This window comes from Homo sapiens, chromosome 22 (assembly GCF_000001405.40).
Source record: "Homo sapiens chromosome 22, GRCh38.p14 Primary Assembly".
NCBI lineage: Eukaryota > Metazoa > Chordata > Mammalia > Primates > Hominidae > Homo > Homo sapiens.
In genome coordinates, this window is record NC_000022.11 from 36,507,814 (window position 1) to 36,530,806 (window position 22,993).

General features: G+C 47.3%; 1 protein-coding gene across 3 annotated transcripts, besides 3 other annotated features; it reads right to left on the reverse strand.

Annotated features, from left to right (window-relative positions):
* Positions 1–3,041: 3,041 nt before the first annotated feature.
* Positions 3,042–21,353, reverse strand: EIF3D (eukaryotic translation initiation factor 3 subunit D). 3 transcript variants are annotated; one of them, NR_156418.2, is made up of 15 exons: positions 21,263–21,353; positions 18,186–18,318; positions 17,851–17,896; positions 16,783–16,919; positions 16,082–16,167; positions 15,396–15,468; positions 12,763–12,875; positions 11,592–11,724; positions 10,950–11,097; positions 9,488–9,680; positions 8,892–8,977; positions 8,665–8,794; positions 4,647–4,789; positions 3,690–3,973; positions 3,042–3,187 (listed from the first exon to the last, which is right to left on the reverse strand). NR_156418.2 is itself a non-coding variant. In NM_003753.4 (15 exons), the coding sequence occupies exons 2-15, from the start codon at positions 18,306–18,308 to the stop codon at positions 3,174–3,176; spliced, it is 1,647 nt and encodes a 548-aa protein (NP_003744.1). In that variant the 5' UTR covers positions 18,309–18,318; positions 21,263–21,353; the 3' UTR covers positions 3,042–3,173. The 3 variants fall into 3 exon arrangements, 2 of the variants coding, with proteins under 2 accessions (NP_003744.1, XP_047297516.1); NM_003753.4 differs by having other exon boundaries at positions 9,488–9,618; XM_047441560.1 differs by lacking the exons at positions 3,042–3,187; positions 3,690–3,973; positions 4,647–4,789; positions 8,665–8,794; positions 8,892–8,977 and having other exon boundaries at positions 9,487–9,680.
* Positions 3,531–3,610: an enhancer, noted in NCBI's record as "active region_18936". NCBI's record gives its function as "activates an Ori minimal core promoter by ATAC-STARR-seq in GM12878 lymphoblastoid cells {active_cell/tissue: GM12878}" and the evidence as "EXISTENCE:reporter gene assay evidence [ECO:0000049][PMID:35858748]".
* Positions 20,864–20,913: an enhancer, noted in NCBI's record as "active region_18937". NCBI's record gives its function as "activates an Ori minimal core promoter by ATAC-STARR-seq in GM12878 lymphoblastoid cells {active_cell/tissue: GM12878}" and the evidence as "EXISTENCE:reporter gene assay evidence [ECO:0000049][PMID:35858748]".
* Positions 21,224–21,623: an enhancer, noted in NCBI's record as "active region_18938". NCBI's record gives its function as "activates an Ori minimal core promoter by ATAC-STARR-seq in GM12878 lymphoblastoid cells {active_cell/tissue: GM12878}" and the evidence as "EXISTENCE:reporter gene assay evidence [ECO:0000049][PMID:35858748]".

Genomic DNA, 22,993 nt, shown 5'->3' on the forward strand with positions numbered 1-22,993 from the left:
CTTGGGGGAAGGGCAGGTGGAAAGAACTGCGAGCCTGCAGATTTGCATGGCTGGAGATTCTTTGAATTAAAAATCGTAGCTGGGGACTCCTTAGAAAAATTTTCCTGACCTCTCAGGCCTACAAGTACCTACCAAAGAATGTCATTTACTTTTTCTTTTTTTTTTTTTTTTGAGATGGAGTCTCACTCTGTCGCCCAGGCTGGAGTGCAGTGGCGTGATCTCGGCTCACTGCAAGCTCCACCTCCCAGGTTCACGCCATTTTTCTGCCCCAGCCTCCCTAGTAGCTGGGACTACAGGTGCCCGCCACCACACCCGGCTAATTTTTTGTATTTTTAGTAGAGACAGGGTTTCACTGTGTTAGCCAGGATGGTCTCGATCTCCTGACCTCGTGATCCGCCCGCCTCGGCCTCCCAAAGTGCTGGGATTACAGGCGTGAGCCACCGCGCCTGGCCGAATGTCATTTACTTTCTTCAGTCTGTGTCAACATCAGAGAAAAGCTCCCTCAGAGCAGAAATTGTCCAGTATCTGACATACGGAAGTTTAAGCATTTGTTGAATAAGCATTGCAACCAGAGAGGTCAGGCAGAATACTTTGCCAAAAATAAAGTAGGGATGTCTTATTTCTTCTTTTTGAGACAGAGTCTCACTGTCACCCAGGCTGGAGTGCAGTGACACAATCATGGCTCACTGCAGCCCTGACCTTCCAGGCTCAAGCGATCCTGCTTCAGCCTCCCAAAGTGCTAGGGATTACAAGTGTGTGCCATGGCCCCTGGCCAATTTTTCAAAAAAATTTTTGGGGGCATATGTGTATATATTTATGGGGCATATGAGATGTTTTGATAGTCATGCAATTTGGGGATGTCTGTTTCTTAGTGGTTGTGAAGATTATGAGAATGGGTGCTGGCAAACAAGTTCCTAAAATAATTGCTGGTCTTATGTGGTGAATACAGTAGTGGGAAATTAAACAGAATTCGTCAAGTATGGTAGGGCCCTACGAGTAGGCTGAACCTAGATTGTAAGCAACAGGATGCTACTGGGAGTTTCTGAATGTAGGATTACTGCAGCAGTCAACTTGGTAGCCCCATGCAGGACAGATAAAAGCAGTGGACAGCTACTCGGGAGGCTGAGGCAGGAGAATGGCGTGAACCCAGGAGGCGGAGCTTACAGTGCCTGAGATTGCGCCACTGCACTCCAGCCTGGGCAACAGAGCAAGACTCCGTCTCAAAAAAAAAAAAAAAAAAAAAAAAGGCAGTGGAAACTGATGCAAAGTATTTTCAGGGAATGAGCTTGAGTCACTTCCACTTGCTTCTGTTAATCCTGTTGGACAGGGCCATGGTTTGCAAGAGGCAATTTGGTGAATACTGGTCCAACCTGGAAACCCCCGGCACTAGTCACACCACTTTAATCTGTTTTTTAACACTCTGTATTCACATTGAAAACTCCCCAAGTACACTTTTTCTCTCCACTGCTTCTAACACAGTTCAAGAAACCTTTTGCTTGCTGAGGTTCGATTCATTAAAATTAATTTTGTGTTTTTTCAAGCTACTTTAAAAAAAAAACCTGTAACTTTAGAAATGCTGAGCTTTTTTTGAGAGTCTCTGTAATCCAAATTGGAGTGCAGTGGTGTGATCTCAGTTCACTGCAACCTCCGCCTCCTGGGTTCGAGTGAATCTCCAGCCTCAGCCTCCCAAGTAGCTGGAATTACAGGCGTGTGCCACCATGCCTGGCTGTTTTGTATTTTTAGTAGAGACGGGGTTTTGCTATGTTGCTCAGGCTGGTTTTGAACTCCTGACCTCAAGTGATCCACCCACCTCGGCCTCCCAAAGTGCTGGGATTACAGGCATGAGCCACTGCACCTGGCCTTTTTTTTTTTGATAAAGGGTCTCCTTCTGTCACTTAGGCTGGAGTGCAGTGGTGTGATCATAGCTCACTGCAGCCTTGAACTCCTGGGCTCAAGCAATCCTCCCACCTCAGCCTCCTGAGTAGCTGGGACCACAGGTGGAAGCATCATGACTGGCTAATAATTTATTTTTTTGCAGAGACAGGCCCTGGTCTCCCTGTGTTGCCCAGGCTGGTCTCAAACTTCTAGGCTAAAGTGATCCTTCTGCCTCAGCCTCTCAAAGTGTTGGGATTAGAGGTTTGAGCCACCATGCCTGTTTCCTCACCTCTACAATGGTACTACTCCTGCCAGCATCACAGTTCTGTATGAGGCTTAGATACTACAGAAAGCTCAGCATTAATACCTGGCAGGGTAATTACTCCATCAAGTGTCCAGAACAGAACAGTGTCCACTTACATAGTTTACATAGCCTCGGCTGGGTGCGGTGGCTCACGCCTGTAATCTCAGCACTTTGGGAGGCCAAGGCGGGTAGATCACCTGAGGTCAGGAGTTCGAGACCATCCTGACCCATATGGCGAAACCCCGTCTCTACTAAAAATACAAAAATTAGCCAGGCATGGTGGTGCATGCCTGTAATCCCAGCTACTGGGGGGCTGAGGCAGGAGGATCGCTTGAACCTGGGAGGTGGAGGTTGCAGTGAGCCGAGATCATGCTACTGCACTCCAGCCTGGGCAACAAAGTGAGATTCCGTCTCAAAAAAAAAAAAAAAAAAAAAAAAAGTTTACATATCCTCAACATGCAGAGCTCTTATGACACAATGCTTTGTAGGGACAGGCCTGAGTGTCACCAGCCCAAGCCAAGCTTAAAAACAATTCATAAACCATTACACAATCACCCAGTGGGACATCCATCAAGCTCTCTGTGGCAGCCTCCCTCAGGCGCAGCAGCCCCACCTCACCCACACCCTGCTTCACGCTGTACTAGTGCTCTGCACTCCAGCTCCTCACAGTGAACTCTCCAAAAGCAACAGGTGGCCCTTCACACAGCCAGCAGGCACTCATGCTTGTGGAAATGGACTTCTTATAACAAATGAGGACACCCAGATTCTGAATTCCACATAGAAATTGCTGAATCTCATCCCCACTCTGTCAGGAATCTTTGAAGAAACGACTGTAAATCGTTAATGCAGGCAGACGATGAGGGAAAGACTAAACAGATATATATTTTATTTCATCTGCTAAATGTCAGAGAGCAAGTTAGACACACATTCCACTAAGCATCAAAGGCCCTCGTAGTCTCGGTGGAAGGACAAACTCCAGCTCCACATCACTGGTTTAAGTTTCTTCCTCTGAAAGACACAAAAAATGTAAGAGAAATGAGCCAGGTTGTGTGATATGATGTTCACTTTCCTTTCTGAACCTCTGCTGGACTGTGCGTGAGTTTTCAACACTTCCATTCCGAAGTTAAGCCTTTCAGATGCTCACAGGGCTGGGCAGGTATTTCCTTCAGTCACCAGCTGGTGGAGCAGGAGAGACAACTTTCAGGCTATTTAACCCGGAGCGGAGCTTTTCCCTCTAGACCACCGGCTTCAATCTGGGACTTCCCTCATCTTCCTCTACCTCTGCCACAGTCCAGCCGCTTCTCTAAAACACCGCTATCCTCCCCAACCACTTGATGTGATCTAAAGGCTCTAGAAGAAGCTCTTGGAGCCAAAGTGAATGCTTCTTCATACTTAAGTCTCAGGGAATTCTCGAAGTTTTATCAAGGTTAAAGATCACAATGGCTACAGAGCTTGCTCCCGTGCTAGCCCACAGATCACTCTAGACCTCAGAAAGTGGGCTGCTACACACCTTCTTCTTCCTCTTCTTCCTCCTCCTCTTCCTCCTCATCTTCATCAGAGCTGAAGGTGCCATCAGGGAGGCTGTAGACACGGATGACCTGCTTGTTGGGGTCCTTGAGGATGAGGTATTTGCCCTCCTCCAGCTTCATGCAGATGTCAATGACGCAGCGTAAAATGCCCCAGGCATTCTCCACGCTCAGGTTGATCTGGCTGGCAAACTCATTAGGCTTGAACTGCTGGGTGCCTAGGATGACGTGGCGTGAGGAGTCTTTCACGTGGTACCGAGACACATAACTAACAGGGGAAGGGATATCAGTGGTCAGAGCAGGGCAGCACAGAGACAGCAACACTTGGGATCAAATGTCAATTAAATGGTGATACCTGGTCCACTGCTATTTTTTCTTTTTTTTTTTTTTGAGACGGAGTCTGGCTCTGTTGCCCAGGCTGGAGTGCAGTGGCGCCATCTTGGCTCACTGCAAGCTCCGCCTCCCGGGTTCACACCATTCTCCTGCCTCAGCCCCCTGAGTAGCTGGGGCTACAGGCGCCCGCCACTACGCCCGGCTAATTTTTTGTATTTTTAGTTGAGACAGGGTTTCATCGTGTTAGCCAGGATGGTCTTGATCTCCTGACCTCGTGATCTGCCAGCCTGGGCCTCCCAAAGTGCTAGGATTACAGGCATGAGCCACCGCGCCCGGCAGTCCACTGCTATTTTCAAGGGAAAGGGAAAACATCGTCTTCTGAGTTCTCAGTTCTGGATTTCATTGACACCATTGCCCTAGTTCAGGACTCCATTCAGCATGCCTGCTGTTTGGCATTTGTCTCCTAACTGACCCCTCCATCTCTACCCCACCCCTGGATTTATCTCTGCCAGTCAATTGTCCAGTACACGGGGAGGGGAGGGTCAACCTCCCTACCCAGACCCTTCCTTTCACAAGATCAGCTGCCAGCTCCTGCACAGGAATCTCACCCAAGCTTGAGGTACTCAGATCCAGCCAGCAAAGCACAGCAGGTCCACCGGGCCAACTTGTAGCTGTTGTTCTTCAGCTCCGTGGCAATGACAGCCCCTCGCTGAGAGTCCAGCTTCTGACGCCAGTCAACGCCATTACAGTGCTGCAGGAGAGCCCCGTTAGAGAAACAGAAGCAAGCTCCAAATGCCCAAGGTGCTGGGACCTCCTCTGGCAGAGAAGGAACTCCCTAGTCTGCTTGCTTAGAAAGTGGGTAGGTACGCACTAAATCTTACCATTTAAGAGACAAAGACATAGTCCCTTCCCTTGCACAGCCTGCCGCACAGCAGTCACTCAACGACTTACAATTCCTCTCTTCTAAAAGCTCGCCTAGACAGGGAATGATGGATGGACACACACGGACACACACACACACACACACACTTTAGAAGTGTCATATAAACAGCAGAGCCAAGTGTTTACTATGTGTTGCGTGGTAAGGAAGGGCTTCACAGAGGACGTGTAACAGTGAGCCAAGTGGAGAATATTGGCTCAAGTGCAGGTGTAGCCAGGAGGTCTTGATCTGAGAGGCATGGTGGGATAGGAAAGACAGGCAGAGTTGGCCTTAGATGGGGGTGGAAGCCTGCAGTGGGTGCAAAGCTGAGTCTGACATTTTACATAAATGCACACACAGTAGAAAAGGACCCCAGAGAGATCCTCTTTTCTACCCATATCATTTGTAGACGTGGGAAGTTGGACCCAGAGTGAAATGACTGGTCAAAGGTCACATGACAGAGGTTCCCAAACTTTCTTGGTTCATGGCAAACACAGGGCAAAAGAAATACTCAAGAATTTCTTTTAAATTTTTTTTCTTTTTTTTTTTGAGACGGAGTTTTGCTCTTGTTGCCCAGGGTGGAGTGCAGTGGCACGATCTTGGCTCACTGCAACCTCCGCCTCCCGGGTTCAAGTGATTCTCCTACCTCAGCCTCCCTAGTAGTTGGGATTACAGGTGCCCGCCACCATGTCCAGCCAATTTTTGTATTTTTGGTAGATACGGGGTTTCATCATGTTGGCCAGGCTGGTCTCGAACTCCTGACCTCAGGTGATCCACTCGCCCCGGCCTCCCAAAGTGCTGGGATTACAGGCGTGAGCCACCGTGCCCGGCCAAGAATTCCTTTTATTTAGTTAGGGTCAAACCATGTATTAGTATTCTGACAAGATGTCTCTGTGTTTCCCTAAAAAATTTAAAATATCCTGCAGCACTCCTGTGAGTTTGCTGTGGCACATTTTTTGGAGATGGGGTCTCACTATGTTGCCCAAGCTGGTGAGTTCAGGATTTGAACTCATGAACCCAAGCGATTCTCCCACCTCAGGCTCCTGAGTAGCTAGGACTATAGGTGCATACTACTGCATACAGCTTGCTGGGGCATGTTAGAATTCTTCTCCCAATCTGCACTGCTGATGAAGCGTGTATTGGACAATTGACTGGCGGAGATAAATCAAATATAGAAGTTGGGTGGAGGTAGAGAAATCAGTTAGGAGACAAATGTCAAACAGGCATGATGAAATGGGGCCCTGAACTAGGGCAATTATCAGTGAAATCCAGGACAGATTCAGAAGACAGCAAAGCCTTCTATTTTGCTAACAGCAAAACAGAATAATGTAAAAAAGAAGTTGGAGATGTTGGAGGCTCAGAGCTTAGGTGGAAGAAAGACAATGCTGATGGACAGCTGGCCCAGAGGCAATGACGGGACTGGGGACACATGGAAGGGGAAGGTGTTTTAGCAGAAAAACAATGGGAAGTATAATAAATCAGAGTAGATTTGAGAAATCATTTTCAAAGAGTTCATGGTTGAGGCCTGGGATGGGCAGAATTCTAAGATGACCCCCAGTGACCCTTGCCCTTGCAGAGTCTCCTCCCCTTGACTACGGGCAGAACCTATGGCTAGGATCAAGTATCACCCCCATGATCATCCTACCTTGTATGTCAAAAGGGATTTTGCAGATGTAAGGCCGCAAATCAGTTTACCTTAATATACACTACCTGGCTGGGCTCACCCAACCGTATGAGTCTCTTAAATCTAGGTGTAGAGGTCGGAGACGGAGGAAGTCAGAGATCTGAAGCACAAGAAGGATCTGATGTGCTGTTGCTATCTTGGAGATGGAGGGGGCCATGTGACAAGGAATGCAGGTGGCCTCTAGGAGCCAAGAGAGGCTCCCAGCTGACAACTGGCAGGGGGATGGGGGCCTCAGTCATCTAACTGCAGGGAAATGAACTTTACCCACAATAAGAATGGGCTTGGAAGTGGCTTTTCTTTCAGAACCTCCAGATGAGAACTCAGTTCTATTTCTATTGACACCATGATTTCTGCCTTGTTTGGATTTGTGGCCCCACCCAAACTGCATGTCAAATTGTAAACTCCAATGTTGGAGGAGGAGCATGGTGGGAGGTGACTGGATCATGGGGGCAGACTTCCCCCTTTGGCACTATTCTTGTGGTAAGAGTATTCAAGAGATCTGGTTGTTTAAAAGTGTATACCAACCTCCCCCCTCTCTTTCTCCTGCTCTGGCCATGATGTGCCTGCTTCTCCTTTGCTTTCTGCCACCATTGCAAGTTTCCTGAGGTCTCCTCAGCCACGCTTCCTCTAGAGCCTGCAGAACTGTGAGCCAATTAAACCTCTTTTCTTTATAAATCACCCACTCTCAGGCATTTCTTTACAGCAGTGTGACAATGGACTAATACAAGGACCAAGCACACAGCACTGGACTTCTAACCTACAAAACCGTGAGCTAATAAATTGGTATTGTTAGGCCGGGTGCTGTGGCTCACGCCTGTAATCCCAGCACTTTGGGAGGCCGAGGCAGGCAGATCACCTGAGGCCGGGACTTCAAGACCAGTCTGACCAACATGGAGAAACCCCATCTCTACTAAAAATACAAAATTAGCTGGGTGTGGTGGTGCATGCCTATAATCCTAGCTACTCGGGAGGCTGAGGCAGGAGAATCGCTTGAGCCCGGGAGGTAGAGGTTGCAGTGAGCCGAGATCGCACCGTTGCACTCCAGCCTGGGCAACAAGAGCGAAACTCCGTTTCAGAAAAATAAAATAAAAAATAAAAGTAAAATACATAAATCGGTATTAAGTCATTAAGTTTCTGTTAATTTGTTATGGTGCGAAAGAAAACTAATACAAAGTTATATAATACAGAAGTATGTATGGCGAAGAGAGCTGTCCAGGTGACTCCACTGGGATCAAAAAGGAGGGGAGCCAGCAAAGACGACATGCAAACGGAACAGGGAAACGGGTGAGACCAGAGTAACGCGGTAACACAGACGGCAAAACGACACAGGCACGACGGCCCTGAATGCTTTGGGGAGCTCACCAGGAAAAATCCAAGAAAAGGCCGCTGGCCCCAGAGCGGCAAACCTTCCAGTGTGCTCTTTCAACAGGTGATGTGGGCGGGGGGGCGGATTGGGAGGGGTGGGGTGGAAATAGAGGAGGAAAAGTGAAGGAAGCATGTTTCTTTCAAGGTGCCTCTGAAGAGTCAATTCTGAGCCAGATCTTAGAATCCATGAGTTAAAGAAATGAGGAATTGCAAAAAATGTGTGAAAAGATTGAAGGCAGTGGCTCAGTCAATGAAAGAAGAGGTCAAAAAGAAGAGCGGCCAGACTTACAGGAAAACTGCCAACCCAGATAATAAGGAGAGGAAAAAATCAGATGCTCAGGGAGCAGAAGTCAACAGGAGGCCACAATGGAACAGAGATGAAGAAAGTACTGGAAGAAGGGAGTTAACTGGTTCCTGCGTAAAAAATAAGCAGAAAAGTTCTTAACACTTAACATAGTTCTACACACACAGTCATGCTCTTTCTCAGCAAGGAACTAAGCAGAGGAAAAAACTCACAAGACAAAAAAAAACATCCAGGTAGCTCTATAAGTAACGAAAGGGGATAAGAAACAGTTTATACAACCTAGCCTGCGTAAACAGGCACTGTAGGGAATAGAGACATGGTGTCACCAGGAGGGTGATGGAGATGGCGGCTCACCCTGGAATCCCACTCATTGAGTGTCTTGATGTTGATGAAGGACACTTCCCCGTTGGCTCCAGTCATGACGCCATCGTGCTCACAACGGACAATAAGGTCAATATCATCTCCAAGCTTCCACCTGCGGTAACTGCAGCAAAAAAGAAACTCATGTGGTCACTGGGGATTCTATAGAGTGGGGCCCGTGCTCCAGTCTGGCCACAATACCCACCAGAGAGGTGACCTACCGGTACGCAACAGAGGCGATTTCATTCTTATCCATGTCGTCCTCCACAAACGGGTTTGGGTTGGGGAAGTTGTATCTTTCCTTCCCCTGCAAAAACAAAGGTGTCACAAGACAGAGCTAACTTTGTTGACAAGGCCAAGGCCAATCAGTCAGACCCAGCACCTCTGCTTAGTTGCAGCCCTGGCCAGGTTCCTGGGGCCCTTGATGGGGCTCTGAGCTCGCTGCCTGTTTTGTGCCTACTTGACCCCTCCCAACTGTTAGCACCTGATGAATTAGAACAATGACTTAGTAACCATGCTCATCTCTACTTCATTTTTTTGCCATGGCATATATTCACCATTTGATGTAAATCAATTTATTATTTATTGTTCACTGTGTTTCCTCCTCCACTATCATTAAATTCTGTAAGGGCAGGAACTTTGTTCAAAGTCAGAGAGCCTAACATCCAAGCCCAGGCATGTAACTCCCCTGCTAAAGGTGGGGACTGCGTCTGACCTGCTCAGTCCCACAACCAAGAGCCTAGCACAAAGCAGATGCTCCACAAACAGCAGCTGATTAAATAAGAATGAATCAATGCCCAGAGACTCGTTTCCTCACCATTCTCAAGCACTGCTGGGAGAAATTGTGGTTGATGTAGGTTGCCTCCATGGCCAGGTTGCGGGGTGAATTGAAGGAATTACCTTCATCTTGAGGGGGCTCATTGGCAGTCTCACTCACTGTCAGGAGGTCTGCAAAAGCGTGGCATGGTCACTCACCATGCAACAAAGAGTCACTGACAATGTGCGCAGCGCTGTGGGGAGATGTGGAGAGGCAAACAACACAAGTCCTTCCTTCAAAGAACTGCCCTCTCCTAAAGTGGGTCTCCCTGGTGTGGAACACATAAGCGGGGGAGTGGGGCAGCTGCTCCAGGATAACTCAAGATACTGTCCAACATTCAATTCAATCACACAGTAACGAAGCTGTCCCTTTTCAGTCGTTTTGGATTCCTCAAGAGAATGATTTTGCAAGCTTTTTAATAAAGACCTCAGGCTTCAGGCTCAGAATATAAACACTTTTTTTTTTGAGATGGAGTCTTGCTCTGTCACCCAGGTTGGAGTGCAGTGGTGTGTCCACGGCTCACTGCAACCTCTGCCTCCTGGGTTCAAGCGATTCTCCTGCCTCAGCCTCCTAAGTAGCTGGGATTACATGTGTCCACCACCACACCTGGCTAATTTTTGTATTTTTAGTAGAGACTGGGTTTCACCATGTTGGCCAGGCTTGGTCTCGATCTCCTGATGTCAAGTGATTCTCCGCCTCGGCCTCCCAAAGTGGCAGGATTACAGGTTGTGAGCCACCGTGTCCAGCCTGTTTTGTTAATTTTTGAGTGACATGGTTTTCCTTTATGGTGTATAAATACATATATGTATGGTATAAAAAATATATATGTATATACAGTAAGCAAACACTGAACAAGGTATGCAAGATGGCAAAAGTCGAAAAAGGGGTATTTAAATGAATAACATTTGGGCCAGGTGTGTTGGCTCACACCTCTAATCGCAGCACTTTGGGAGGCCAAGGCTGATGGATCACTTGAGGCCAGGAGTTCGAGACCAGCCTCGCCAACATGGTGAAACCGTCTCTACTAAAAATATAGAAAGTAGCCAGGCGTAATGGCACATGCCTGTAATCCCAGCTATTCGGGAGGCTGAGGCAGAAGAATCACTTGAATGTGGGAGGCAGACGCTGCAGTGAGCCAAGACTGCGCCACTGCACTCCAGCCTGGGTGACAGAGTGAGACTCTCTGTCTCAATTAAAAAAAAAAAAAAACAACAAAAAAGCAACATTTGGAAGCTTGCTATTAGGGTGCTGTGAGGACTCCAAAAGCTGAGGCCTCAAGCAGGTACTGCAGTGACAGTCTCTTCTCCTAACCTCTAAAGAGTGTGGGAGATTCAGACACTGCTGCTGTCAATTCCCTTGGGAAGACAGACCACTTTCTATCCATTCTCTAGTACCAGAGACTTGTTCTGTACCAACAAAAATACTCAATGCCTTTGAGTTGCTCCCCAGGCACGCTTCTTACCAAAGTCAGAGTTGTCTCTCTTGTCAAAGAAGAGTTTGGACCCAACTCTCTGGACGACAATATCCCAGGAATACACTGAGCGGGTACAGCTCATCAGCGTGGCCAGGATGGCATCAGTGGCAAACACATTCCCCTGAGTTTTTGCCAGCTGCAAAGAGGATCAAAGAGAGAAGATGGAAAGACACTCCCAGGTCTCACTGCCCACTCACATGGATGGGAAAGAACTCCTTTGCTGACCACATAAATCCTTAATAAGGAGGCCCCACCTCATTGACCAAAAACACTGCAGCCAGTGAGCCAGCAAGTTTCGGGTGGCAGTGGCACTGCAGCACCCTAAGCACCTGCTAGATTCCAGCCAAGTGCTTCAGATGCTTTCACCTTTGCCCCAGTGGTAGTGCTATGTACATCTACCCCTTGTTGCAGATGAGAGAACTAAGGCTCCAGAGACTAAGCCAGGAAGCGCGGCAGAACTGGGCTTCAAGTCCAGCTGTGCTTAACATCCACATTTCCGGTCTACCTGGCAAAGTGCTTTTACCTATAATACATACGTTATTCCCATGTCTTCTGTTCTTTCTGCAGCTTCAGCTGTAGAAGCCGACAGCATTCCTAACAAGGGGGAGAGGGGCAGAAGGAGGCGCACACCTTGCGGATGACAGGGTCGTCTGTGGTGGTGACAGTGTGGAAGATGCGCTTGATGCTCCGCAGTGGCTTCTCACTCCTCGTGGTGATGCGGTCAAAGGCTTTGTCGTAGTATTCTAGGGCCCCACAACACTCACTGTGGGAAGAGCAGGCAAAGACATGCAAAGTAAGAGAGATAACCCCCAGTTTTTTCTTTTAAGCCATACATCCAGAAGTCTTATCCAAAAGTCTAAAAGAGGTGGAAAGCAATCTCTGGCCAGAGCAGGAGAGACGAATCCTCAGTGCTTGCTCAGTTCCTGTCCACTTAACACCTGGCATAGAACACAGCAAGCACAACTCATCTAGCCCAACGCCCCCATTTTAAAGGTAGGGTGACCGAGGCTAAGACAGGAGATGACTAGTTATAGAAGCACCTGGGTAGGCTGACTTCTCGTCTGGTGCTCTGGTTTCCCACTACCTAAATTCCACCTACTTGTCCTTTGAGGTAAGAAGCTATTTGAAATGTCAGGAGAAGCAAAGATTCCTCCTGAAGAATTGCTGTGTTTCTTTTCCTGACAAGAGTTTTATAACTTAATCTTATTGCTCTTTTGCTCAGGATGCCAGGAAACAGAAATATACAGTTTAATAATCAGCAAATTCCATTCTGCTTTCTCTTTCTGCCAAAAGAGTTGTATAACTCATTTCTTCTTTCCTCAGGATACCAGGAAGTTAAAAAGAAGTTTGCAGTCAGTGAACTTCTGCTTTTCCCCTTGGTCTTGATTTTTTTTTTTTTGAGATGGAGTTTCGCTCTTGTTGCCCAGGCTGGAGTGCAATGGCAAGATCTCAGCTCACTGCAACCTCCACCTCCAGGGTTTAAGTGATTCTCGTGCCTCAGCCTCCTGAGTAGCTGGGATTACAGGTGTGTGCCACCACACCCGGCTAAGTTTTTGTATTTTTAGTAGAGACTGGGTTTCACCATGTTGGCCAGGCTGGTCTTGAACTCCTGACCTCAGGTGACCCACTGCACCTGGCCGGTCTTGATTTTTTTCAAATACCTCTGTTAACCTTATGAAATGTGTTTTGAGTAAGTGGCTTCAAAGCCTTTTTGGAAATACTAGGGCTTAAGAAAATACCCATCACCAGCTGGTCCACACACATAAGAGCAGTGTAGAAAGTAGTAAAAGATGCTGCTTACATGTCCTGTGGCTCTGATACTTCCAAGTAGCGCATCTTCATCAACTGAGGAAAATCCATTTCCTCTTTCACTTCCCAATCACTACGAACTTCAACTGAAGAGTCTCGGGGTTTCTGCAGTTGAAAACCATTAGAGGAAAAAAAAGTTATAGTCCATACAAAACATAAATAAAAGACAGGCTAAAAATATGAAGAGCTGGCCTGGTGCAGTGGCTCATGCCTGTAGTCCCAGCACTTTGGGAAGCTGGGGCAGGATGATTGCTTGAGCCCAGGAGTTTGAGGCTGCAGTGAGCTATGATTGCACTACTGCACTCCAGCCTGAGTGACACGAGATCCTGTCTCAAACAACAACCACATAAAACGGAGGGGCTCAGTGGCCCTTTGGGAGGCCAAGGCGGGCAGATCACCTGAGGTCAGGAGTTCGAGACCAGCCTGTCCAACATGGTGAAACCCCATCTCTACTAAAAATACAAAAATTAGCCAGGCATGGTGATGCATGCCTGTAATCCCAGCTACTCGGGAGGCTGAGGCAGGAGAACAGCTTGAATCTGGGAGGCGGAGGTTGCAGTGAGCTGAGATAGCACCACTGCACTCCAGCCTGGGTGACAGAGCAAGACTGCGTCTCAATAAAAGAGAGAAAAGAAAAAGAGCTTTTATTCAATAAATGGAGTGCTGACTGTTTTATAAGACAGAATCCCTGACTCCCAGGAATTTATGGTGTGGAAGAGGACCAAAGGGATCAAAAGTTCAAAAGCAAATGGGGTTCCACTCCCAGGTAATGATGTCACCTGATGAACATGTAGAAGGTCCTTTATATTTCTCTCGGGTTATTAACTATTCTTGATACAGCATCATATCCAACAAAATGTAGCTTCACTTTTGCTTACATGTGTTCTGTTCTCAGAATGCCCACACAAGCACACGCAGGTGAACGTTCACAGCAGCATCAATAATAGTCAAAAAGTGAAAAACAACTCAAATGTTCATCAGCATGTGAATGGCTCAAAACAACATGATGTATAATTCAAAGGACTCTTATTTGGCAATAAACAAGAAAAGAAGCTCATCTGGGCTGGGTGTGGTGCCTCACGCCTGTAATCCCAGCACTTTGGGAGGCTGAGGTGGGTGGATCATCTGAGGTCAGGAGTTTGAAACCAGCCGGGCCAACATGGTAAAACCCTGTCTCTACAAAACATATGAAAAAAAAAAAAAAAAAGCCAGACATGTTGGCACGTGCCTGTAATCCTAGCTACCTGGGAGGCTGAGGTGTGAGAATCACTTTAACCCGGGAGGCGGAGGTTGCAGTGAGCCAAGATCGCGCCACTGGCACTGCAGCTTGGGTGACAGAGTGAGATTCCATCTTAAAAAAACAAAAAACAAAAACCAAAAAAACCAACAACAGATGAAGCACAGCTGAACTTGAACAACATGGGTTTGAAGTACATGGGTCTACTTAATATGCAGATTTTCTTCAAACAAACATGGATTGAAAATACAAGCCAGGCGCAGTGGCTCATGGCTGTAACCCCAGCACTTTGGGAGGCTGAGGTGGGTGGACTGCTTGAGCTCAGGAGTTTGAGACCAGCCTGGGGAACATGGCAGAACCCCCTATCTACAGAAAATACAAAAATTAGCCAGGCGTGGTGGTGCATGCCTATAGTCTCAGCTACTCAGAAGGCTGAGGTAGGAGGATCACTTGAACCCAGCAGGCAGAGGTTGCAGTTGGCTAAGATTCATGCCACTGCACTCCAGCCTGGGTGACAGAGCAAGACTCTGTCTCAAAAAAGAAAAGAAAAAGAAAACAGTATTCTTGGGATGCAAACCCCGAGTATATGGAGGGCCGACTTTTCATATATGTGGCTACCACAGGCCGAATGTGGGACTTGAGAATGTGTAGACTTTCATATACTGAAGGAAAACTGTACCGACACATGCTACCACATGGATGACTCTTGAAAACACGCTAAATAAAAGCTGCCAGTTACTAAAGACCACATATTGTATGATTCCATTTATGTAAAATGTCTAGAACAAAAAATCCCGAGACAGAAAACAGATTCATAGCTGCCTACTGCTGGGCTACTGGGGGTGCTGGTGTTTGGGTGTGCCTCCTGGAATTCATTTGGCAATCTGGTTGCTACTGCGGCAGTGTCGGGAGGTAGGGCCTTTAAGAGATTAGGTCGTTAAAAGGAATAAATGCCTCATGCCCTTCTCTCAGGAATGGGCTAACTACCCAAAGTTTAGCCCTTTTCTCTGTTGCACCCTGCTCCCGCTTCTGCTTTTTCTGCCATGCTATCAAGCAGCATGAGGCCCTCACCAGATGTGGCTCCTGATCTGGGACTTCCCAGTCCCCAGAACCATGAGCTAAAGAAACCGCTTTATAACTTACCCACTCTCAGGTATTCTGTTCTAGCAACGGAAAACAGATCAAGACAGGGTGACTGCTAAAGGGTAAGGGATTCTTTTGAGGGTGATGAAAATGGTCTGAAATTGACCAGTTACAGAACTCTTCAAATATATTAAAAACCACTAAATTGTACGGTATGTGAAGTATATCTCATCTAAGCTATTAATAAAGACAACCAAATAAACAGAACCAAATTCCAAGGCAGAATTCTGGTATAAATACATTACCTGTGATTTCTGATCCCATTTCTGCCTAACCCCAAATTGTTTCTGGAACTTTTTCTGCAGTCGAATGCGTTCTCTGGAAAGACAGACATATGATCTCAGTGCAGACCTTTAAACCAGTGGCTTCTTCAAAAGGCACACGCTGCCATTCTCTTCAGCTAAACCTTACCATCACCACTAACTCCTTTAAACTACGAAAAATGGGCTTAGAGAAAGGAAGAGACCCAGACGGTGCATACTGGAGGTGTTAGAAAAGGTACACTGCCTCCAAATACTGACCAGATGATTTTACTTCATCTATAGTGACTGTTCACTGATAGTTCCAATCTGGGGTGTAGTGGCCGCTGGACCACACAACACCAGGAGGCTCAAAGGACCAGCATACAGGGGGCTTCCTAGAGTTGACCCACAGCAGAACTGAGCCCAGGTAAGCTCCAGAGCCTCTTCTTGCCTGCCTGTGTTTCCCTTTAGTGCGCATGACCAGCACAAGGAGTTAGTTTCCTGCCCATGCTATCTGCCATGAACCAGCCTGAGAACGACAAGCTAAAAGGGGGCTTAACTGGTTGTAGAAAGTATTTTCCTTTTTTGCAGTGGTGGGGAATACAACCATCCTCCTGCTTTGGTCCTGTGGTTTCCAAATACGGCCAGTCTGGGAAGGGTGTCTTGTTCCAGCAGGATGAAAATCTCACCTCTCTTTCTGTTTGGCACTCTTAGGCAGGATCTGCAGGTTGAACTGCAACATGTTCCGACGATCTTTGTCTCTGCGGAGGTTCCTCTGGGCATCAGCAAGAAACATCCATGTTAAAATCTTGGAGATTTGGCTCACAATAGGCAGAACAAGTGGGAGGTCTTTGGAGTAAATTTAGGATGCCAAATCCCAAGTTTCACATCTTACTCTGTGCTTTCACTCTACGGCATCAACAGCTTGGGGGTGTTAGGGGGTAAGTGCTTGGACTTTGCTTAGACCTATACTCCCATGATATATTTTTCATTGAAGTATGTTTACTGGGTCTCATTAGATTTTCTGAGTTTGCCTCTTTAAATAATAATAGGCAATCTGACTGGACCATCTACTTAATAAAGTCTGCACACAGCAATTAAGTGTGGTAACAGGCACAGGTGCACCTTCTTATCCAGCACAAATGTTTTTAGCATACAAGTCTGATGTCCTAGCTACTGGCAAACAGAAATATAAACTATTTAAATGCATCCCTGATCCTAGTGCAAGTTCACCTTGGTACCACTTGTTATGGAACGGTGACCCGAGATTCACGAAAAGACCTATAATATGCTTCCCTCTCTCATTAGGAGTCACAAGGTAGCATTTTTTAGCAGGTGATGGCCAACAGTAACAGCCCCAAGATGGTGTGGTTGCTGGCTCTTGGCCTACCTGGGCAAATCTCATTCGATTCCGCTGGTAGGCCGTCTTCTGTGTGCGCGCTGTATCCACCAGCTGGAAGCTACTTTCATCCTCCTCATGGAAATAAGCATATTGACTTCCACCACCAAACTGAGAGGAGTACTTATCTGGAGGCAAAGGTGATGGCATGTAGTAACTGCACCCACAGACTTTACCAGATATGCACCAGTCTAAAGCCTTGCTATTTCAAGTGTGGTCTTGAGACCTGTAGCATTGGCTGAAAGCTTGTTAGACACACAGACTCACAGTCCCACCCCATACCCACTGAATCAGAACCAGCATTTTAACAAGATCCCCGGATGATTCATATGCACATTCAATTTTGAACAACTCTGGCCTAAAGAACTTTCTAAGCCAAGAATCTGAAGGACTCAAACTAACCCATTTCACTCTCTGCGTTATTGTGTGAGAATCTGAGGTATTTATTGCTAACCACCATCTCCATTATCAGGGGCCCATGGCAGGTATGTCTAATAGATCACGATATACTTTCTTGCCAATCTCAGCCTCAGCTATCCTAACTTAGTTCTCCAGGCAGCCACCTCCAACTATCTGAAGTGGCAGAGAGAAAAAGCCTTTTTATGGTACCAGGATCTTAAAACCAGGGGTTTTACTTTTTTTTTTTTTTTTTTTTTTGGAGACAGGATCTGGCTCTGTCACCAGGCTGGAGTACAATAGCATGATCTCTGCTCACTGCAACCTCTAACTTCTGGGTTCAAGTGATTGTCCTGCCTCAGCCACCCGAGTAGCTGGGATTACAGGTGCACGCCACCACGCCCAGCTAATGTTTTCAACAGGTTTTTAAAAGGGCCCAAAACCCCATTTTAATAGGCTAGACCTCTTTAATGAATGGTCTAAGTTTTGAGGGCTATTTCCAAAAATGTGGTTATTGTTAAAGCCCAGAATACATCCCTAAAAGTTATGAATTATTGTTGGCAGTTTCTTCCCATTCTAAAAAGCTTTCAGAAGAAGGTCATTAGAATAAAGAACAACTTTCCCAAGGCCCTGATTGGGGCATTCAGTTGCAGAAACACTTACTTGTGTACCTCTTATCTTGGTATGTGGCTCCTGTCCAGTCTGCAACCTACGAAGAACAAGAAAAGACAGAGAATGCACAGGTCAACCAGGCAAGTTTCTGCAGAACCAGAAATCCCTGAGCGCGAGAGGACAGCGTGGAAGAGTCTCAGAATTTGTTCACAACACCTCTGTAAGTGCCCAGCTCTTCTATGACTACACCCAGAGATAACCTTTCTCAGCTGGCATCCCTATAAGAAATTCAGGAGTTAAGATTTTGAGACAATAAAATCTAAACAGGGACTCGAGAGTAGCAGCCACAGCTGCAAAGATTCAGACTCCTGCTGACAGGCATGTACCTTTCCTAGCCGATCTCCTTTGCTGAACGGCTGGTAGGGCATATCCCGAAACTGCTCGGGAACCGCACAGGGACCCCAGCCTGAGGGGTTGTCCTGGATCACGGGTGTCATGAACTTTGCCATCTTCCAAAATCTGAAAAATATAAATCATGTGAGTAGCGGCATGAACGAAGGCCTCAGAGTACAAAACACCCTCCATATGAAGTAAGCAAAGACATAAATGATAGAACTCAAAAAGCAACACGCAAAATGGAACCCTCAACTGTTGAGCGACTACTACTGTTTTTGTTAATTATACTGTGAATATGTACTTAAAACTGAGAAGAATGCAAACAAAACTGATTTTTCATATTTCATTAATTCCACGACACTCTCTTTTTACTGTAACATCTTTAAAATGAGGCTGCACCTTGTGTTTGACAGGGTGTTGTATTGATTGGTAGTTTTTCTTTTTCTGTGTTACATAAGTGTTTAAAAAAATTTAATGGTGTCAGATTTGATAAAATGTCCTAATGTTTTTTCAAATATAGTAACCTTGTTTTGGTTCTGAGATATACCTTCACCAATTCATACAAACTCAACTTCCCTAAGACTTAGTAGTCTTTTCTTTCTTTCTTTTTTTTTTTTGAGACAGAGTCTCACTTTGTCACCCATGCTGGGGTGCAGTGGCGTGCAACTTCCGCCTTCCGAGTTCAAGCGATTCTCCTGCCTCAGCCTCCTGAGTAGCTGGGATTACAGGCAAGCGCCGCCTGGCTATTTTCTGTGTTTTTAGTGGAGACAGGGTTTCACCATGTTGTCCAGGCTAGTCTTGAACTCCTGACCTCAAATGATCCTCCCGCCTCGACCTCCCAAAGTGCTGGGATTACAGGCGTGAGCCACCACGTCCAGCCACCTTAGTCTTTTCCATCTGCAAAATAAACAAGATCCTTGTTCTAAGCACTTTGTATAATGCCACACAAGTATTCAGACTTGCAAAAGTGCATTTATGTATATAGAGTGCTGAGAAAAAAAGATCTTTAAGTATATCCTGAAATTCAATTTTCCTTTCTCATTGTTTCAATTTTCTGCCATCAACGCAAATCCTGTGTGCAGTGCAAGCGGACATAAAGCCAGGCAGAAGAACTGCCAGAGGGCCAAGGAGGTCCCCACAGACCTCAGGCCCAAAGTTGCCATGTTAAATGTTCATGAATACTGCCAGGCACTGTTCTTACTGTTTACCACTCATTCATTCATACAGTCCTGCCAACAATCCTGTGAGGTAGGAGCCAATGTTATCCGCACTCTCCAGATAAGAAAACCAAAGCACAGAGAAATGAAGAAATTGCCCAAAGTTGAAATGCTAGTGGATGAAAAACGTGAACCAAAGCAGTCTGACCCCAGAGTCTGCACTCTGCATAATGCTATAGCCCTCTTGGGAATTAAAAAACCGGCGCTGTATAGCAGATGGCTGCCCGACACTTCTATAAAAAAACCTATGCATTTATCTTCCGTTGTAACCTTCTGAAAATGCTTAGAAGGCGAGTTCCTAGAGGAAAATTCACTACACAAGTATTTCTTGGAGGCCGGGCGCGGTGGCTCACGCCTGTAATCCCAGCACTTTGAGAGGCCGAGGTGGGCGGATCACGAGGTCAGCAGTTCGAGACCAGCCTGGTCAACATGGTGAAACCCAGTCTCTACTAAAAATACAAAAATTAGCTGGGCGTGGTGGCGGGCACCTGTAATACCAGCTACTCAGGAGGCGGAGGTTGCAGTGAGCCAAGATCCTGCCATTACACTCCAGCCTGGGCAACAGAGCAAGACTCCGTCTCAAAAAAACAAAAATCAAATGTTTCTTGGAGGCTGGAGAGCAATCAAAAGAACAGGTATGCTGAACTTAGTAAACTCTCCTCAAAGCCCCATGCTGGGGAGATTGAGGCTTCCTTCAGAGATGACATTTGGGTGACAGCAACACAGGATGAACCTAGAAGTTTCATCTTTCTAATAGAAACTATAGGAAGAGGACAGAAGAAAAAGGGTGGTGGTCTCAGAACAATTTGTATTAAATAAATATTGCTGAGCTCCTACGTGTTAGGCCCTATACCAGATAATTTAACACCATTGACCACCCCCCCACCCCTACTTTAGAGGCAAAAATTTGAAGCTCAGCCTACTCAAGCAGCTGACCTCATCATTTCAAAACAGATTTGATTTCCAGGGTTGCCTGCTGTCAGTCCAGCCTTCTTTCCATTATATTACAGCTGGGCAGCAGCCCGCAAAGATCAGGGGTTTGAGACCGTACATCATAATACCAAGACAACGAGTCTCAAAACACACTTTAAAAAATCGGGTTCTGTCAGAAGCTCAAGAAGGGAAGAGGCCCGAGGCTCGACCTGCATCACCTCCCTGGAAAGCCAGGGATGAGATACCCTGGCTTTAATAAATGTTTTTTTTTTTAAGAGCAGAGCGGAACCAGGAGGAGAAACTGAGCCGCTCAGCAAAAACGAAGTAACAGCTGTACTAGTCACAGGGGCAGGATAGGGAGGTTCCAAGAGGGCACTCAGAAGGGGCTCTGTGGTTGGCAGGCCACTACAGATCATAAGCCGTCCATCGCTGAACAGGGGGTGGGGTAGATTTAAGATCAGAGATCAAATCTACTTCTCTATCCTAGCCTCCAGTTTCACAAAAAAGGAAAGATAACCTATGCACTGTGAATTCCTAAGAACAGGGGCCAAACACCGCTCAGCCTGGTACCCCTAAGACCTCACTCAAAAAGTCAGGGAGTTTTCGGCCACTTCAGAAAGACTTTGTTGTTACCCCTCCGTCTTAACCCAGGTGAGTTAAGTGACAATCAAATTCACCCAGCTCATGGGCACTGAGCAGGGCCGAGGGCCAAGGACCTCACCCACAAGGTCGTGTCCCGCGTTCAGTAGCGTGCGGGACGCGGGGCCCCCGAAAGTGGATTCCTGCCCCGCCCAGCGGAGGGACGGCAACAGCAGGAAGGGACTAAGAGAGGTCTCTTCCGGGAGGCCCCCCGAAGGCTGGACCTAGTCCGAACCGGCTCCGGAGGGCCGCAGGAACCTATGAAACACGCCGCTCACCTGCAATGGCCTCGGCCGGCCGGGATGGCAACAGATGGTGCGTGCCGGGGACCGCGTTAGCAGCAGCACTCTTGAGAAACCAGGAAAAGAGGAAACATGCGCGCGCAGCGGGCGCCGCCGTAAACACGACCGGCGCTGTCGTAAACTGCTCTCCCGCTTCCTCTGGGTTGGGCGGAAGAACTCACGAGCCGTAAAGCGAAGGTCCACCCGGAAATCCGTTACTGCGTTTCGCCAGGCGTCCTCATTAGCCTCCGAGGCGCCGAGACGCGAGAGGTGTGATTGGCACTACGTCAGGCGGTATCCGGGGACGCCCAAAGAGGGCGTTCATCACTGAAACTTGGCGGCCGCGCAATCGAAGCTCGAGGCGGGGAGCGACTGGCGCCCTTCTGTGTCCCACAATGCTTCGCGGCGCGCCTCAGCCCCCATGTATCCCACCGTCACCCGCGACTCCCCGCCTGTTCTACCTGCCTGCTTAATGTGAAACTCAGCGCAGGGGAGGTCCGTCGGTGTCTTAGGCGGTCCTTATTGTTACTCCTCCGCCTTTATAGTTGTGGAAACTGAGGCTCAGAAGTGCCAAGTGACCTGCCTAGATCAGACTGTTAGTTTAGGGTTCTAACCGCCAGAGTTCAAACCATACTTCCGCAGTTCTCAAACTTAATTGTAGGACAGGGATTTCTGGAACAGTGTTTTTATTTATTTTTATTTATTTTTTGAGACAGGGTTTCGCTCTGTCGCCCAGGCTGAAATGTAGTGGCAGGATCACGGCTTATTGCACCCTCGACTTCTCAGGTACAAGCGATCCTCCCAGTTCAGCCTCCCGAGTCGTTGGTGTACACAGGCACGCACAACCACGCCTGCCTAATTTTTGTATTTTTGGTAGAGATGGGGTTTTGCTATGTTGCTCAGGCTGGTCTCAAACTCCTGAGCTCAACAGTCCACCCACTGGGGCTAGGGTTACAGGCATGAGTCACCGTACCCGGCCAGCTAATGATTTTTAAAAATTTTGTAGAGACAGCGTCTCACTATGTTGCCCGGGCTGGTCTTTAACTCCTGGTCTAAAGTGGTCCTCTCGCCTCAGCGTGCGGAGCAGCTGAGGCTACAGGTGCATGCCACCATGCCTGGCTAATTTTTTTTTTTAGACGGAGTCTTGCTCTGTCTTCCAGGCTGGAGTGGAGTGCAGTGGCGCTATCTCAGTTCACTGCAACCTCCGCATCCCAGGTTCAGGTGATTCTCCTGCTTCAGTCTCCCGAGTAGCTGGGATTGCAGGCGTGTACCAACATGCCCGGCTAATTTTCCTTTTAGTAGAGACGGGGTTTCACCTTGCTGACCAGGCTGGTCTCGAACTCCTGACCTCAGGTGATCTACCCACCTCGGCCTCCCAAAGTGCTAGGATTACAGGCGTGAGCCACTGCGTCCGGCTGCCTGGCTAATTAAAAAAAAAAAAAAAAACTTCTGTGGAGACGAAGTCTCATCATGTTGCCAAGGCTAGTCTCAAACTCCTGGGCTCAAGCAGTCCTCCTGTCTCGGTCTCCCAAAGTGCTGGGATTACGGGCGTGAGCCACCACACCTGACCAGGATAGTATTTTTAAAAATTCAGATTCTGGGTCTCATTTTGATAGATTATACGGATATGTTTATGCTGGAGCCCAAGAGCTCCGCATTAGCTGTGATTCTGAAGTGACGACTCAGGAACTGCTTTACTACAGTAGATAACAGTGCTGTCCTCTCAGC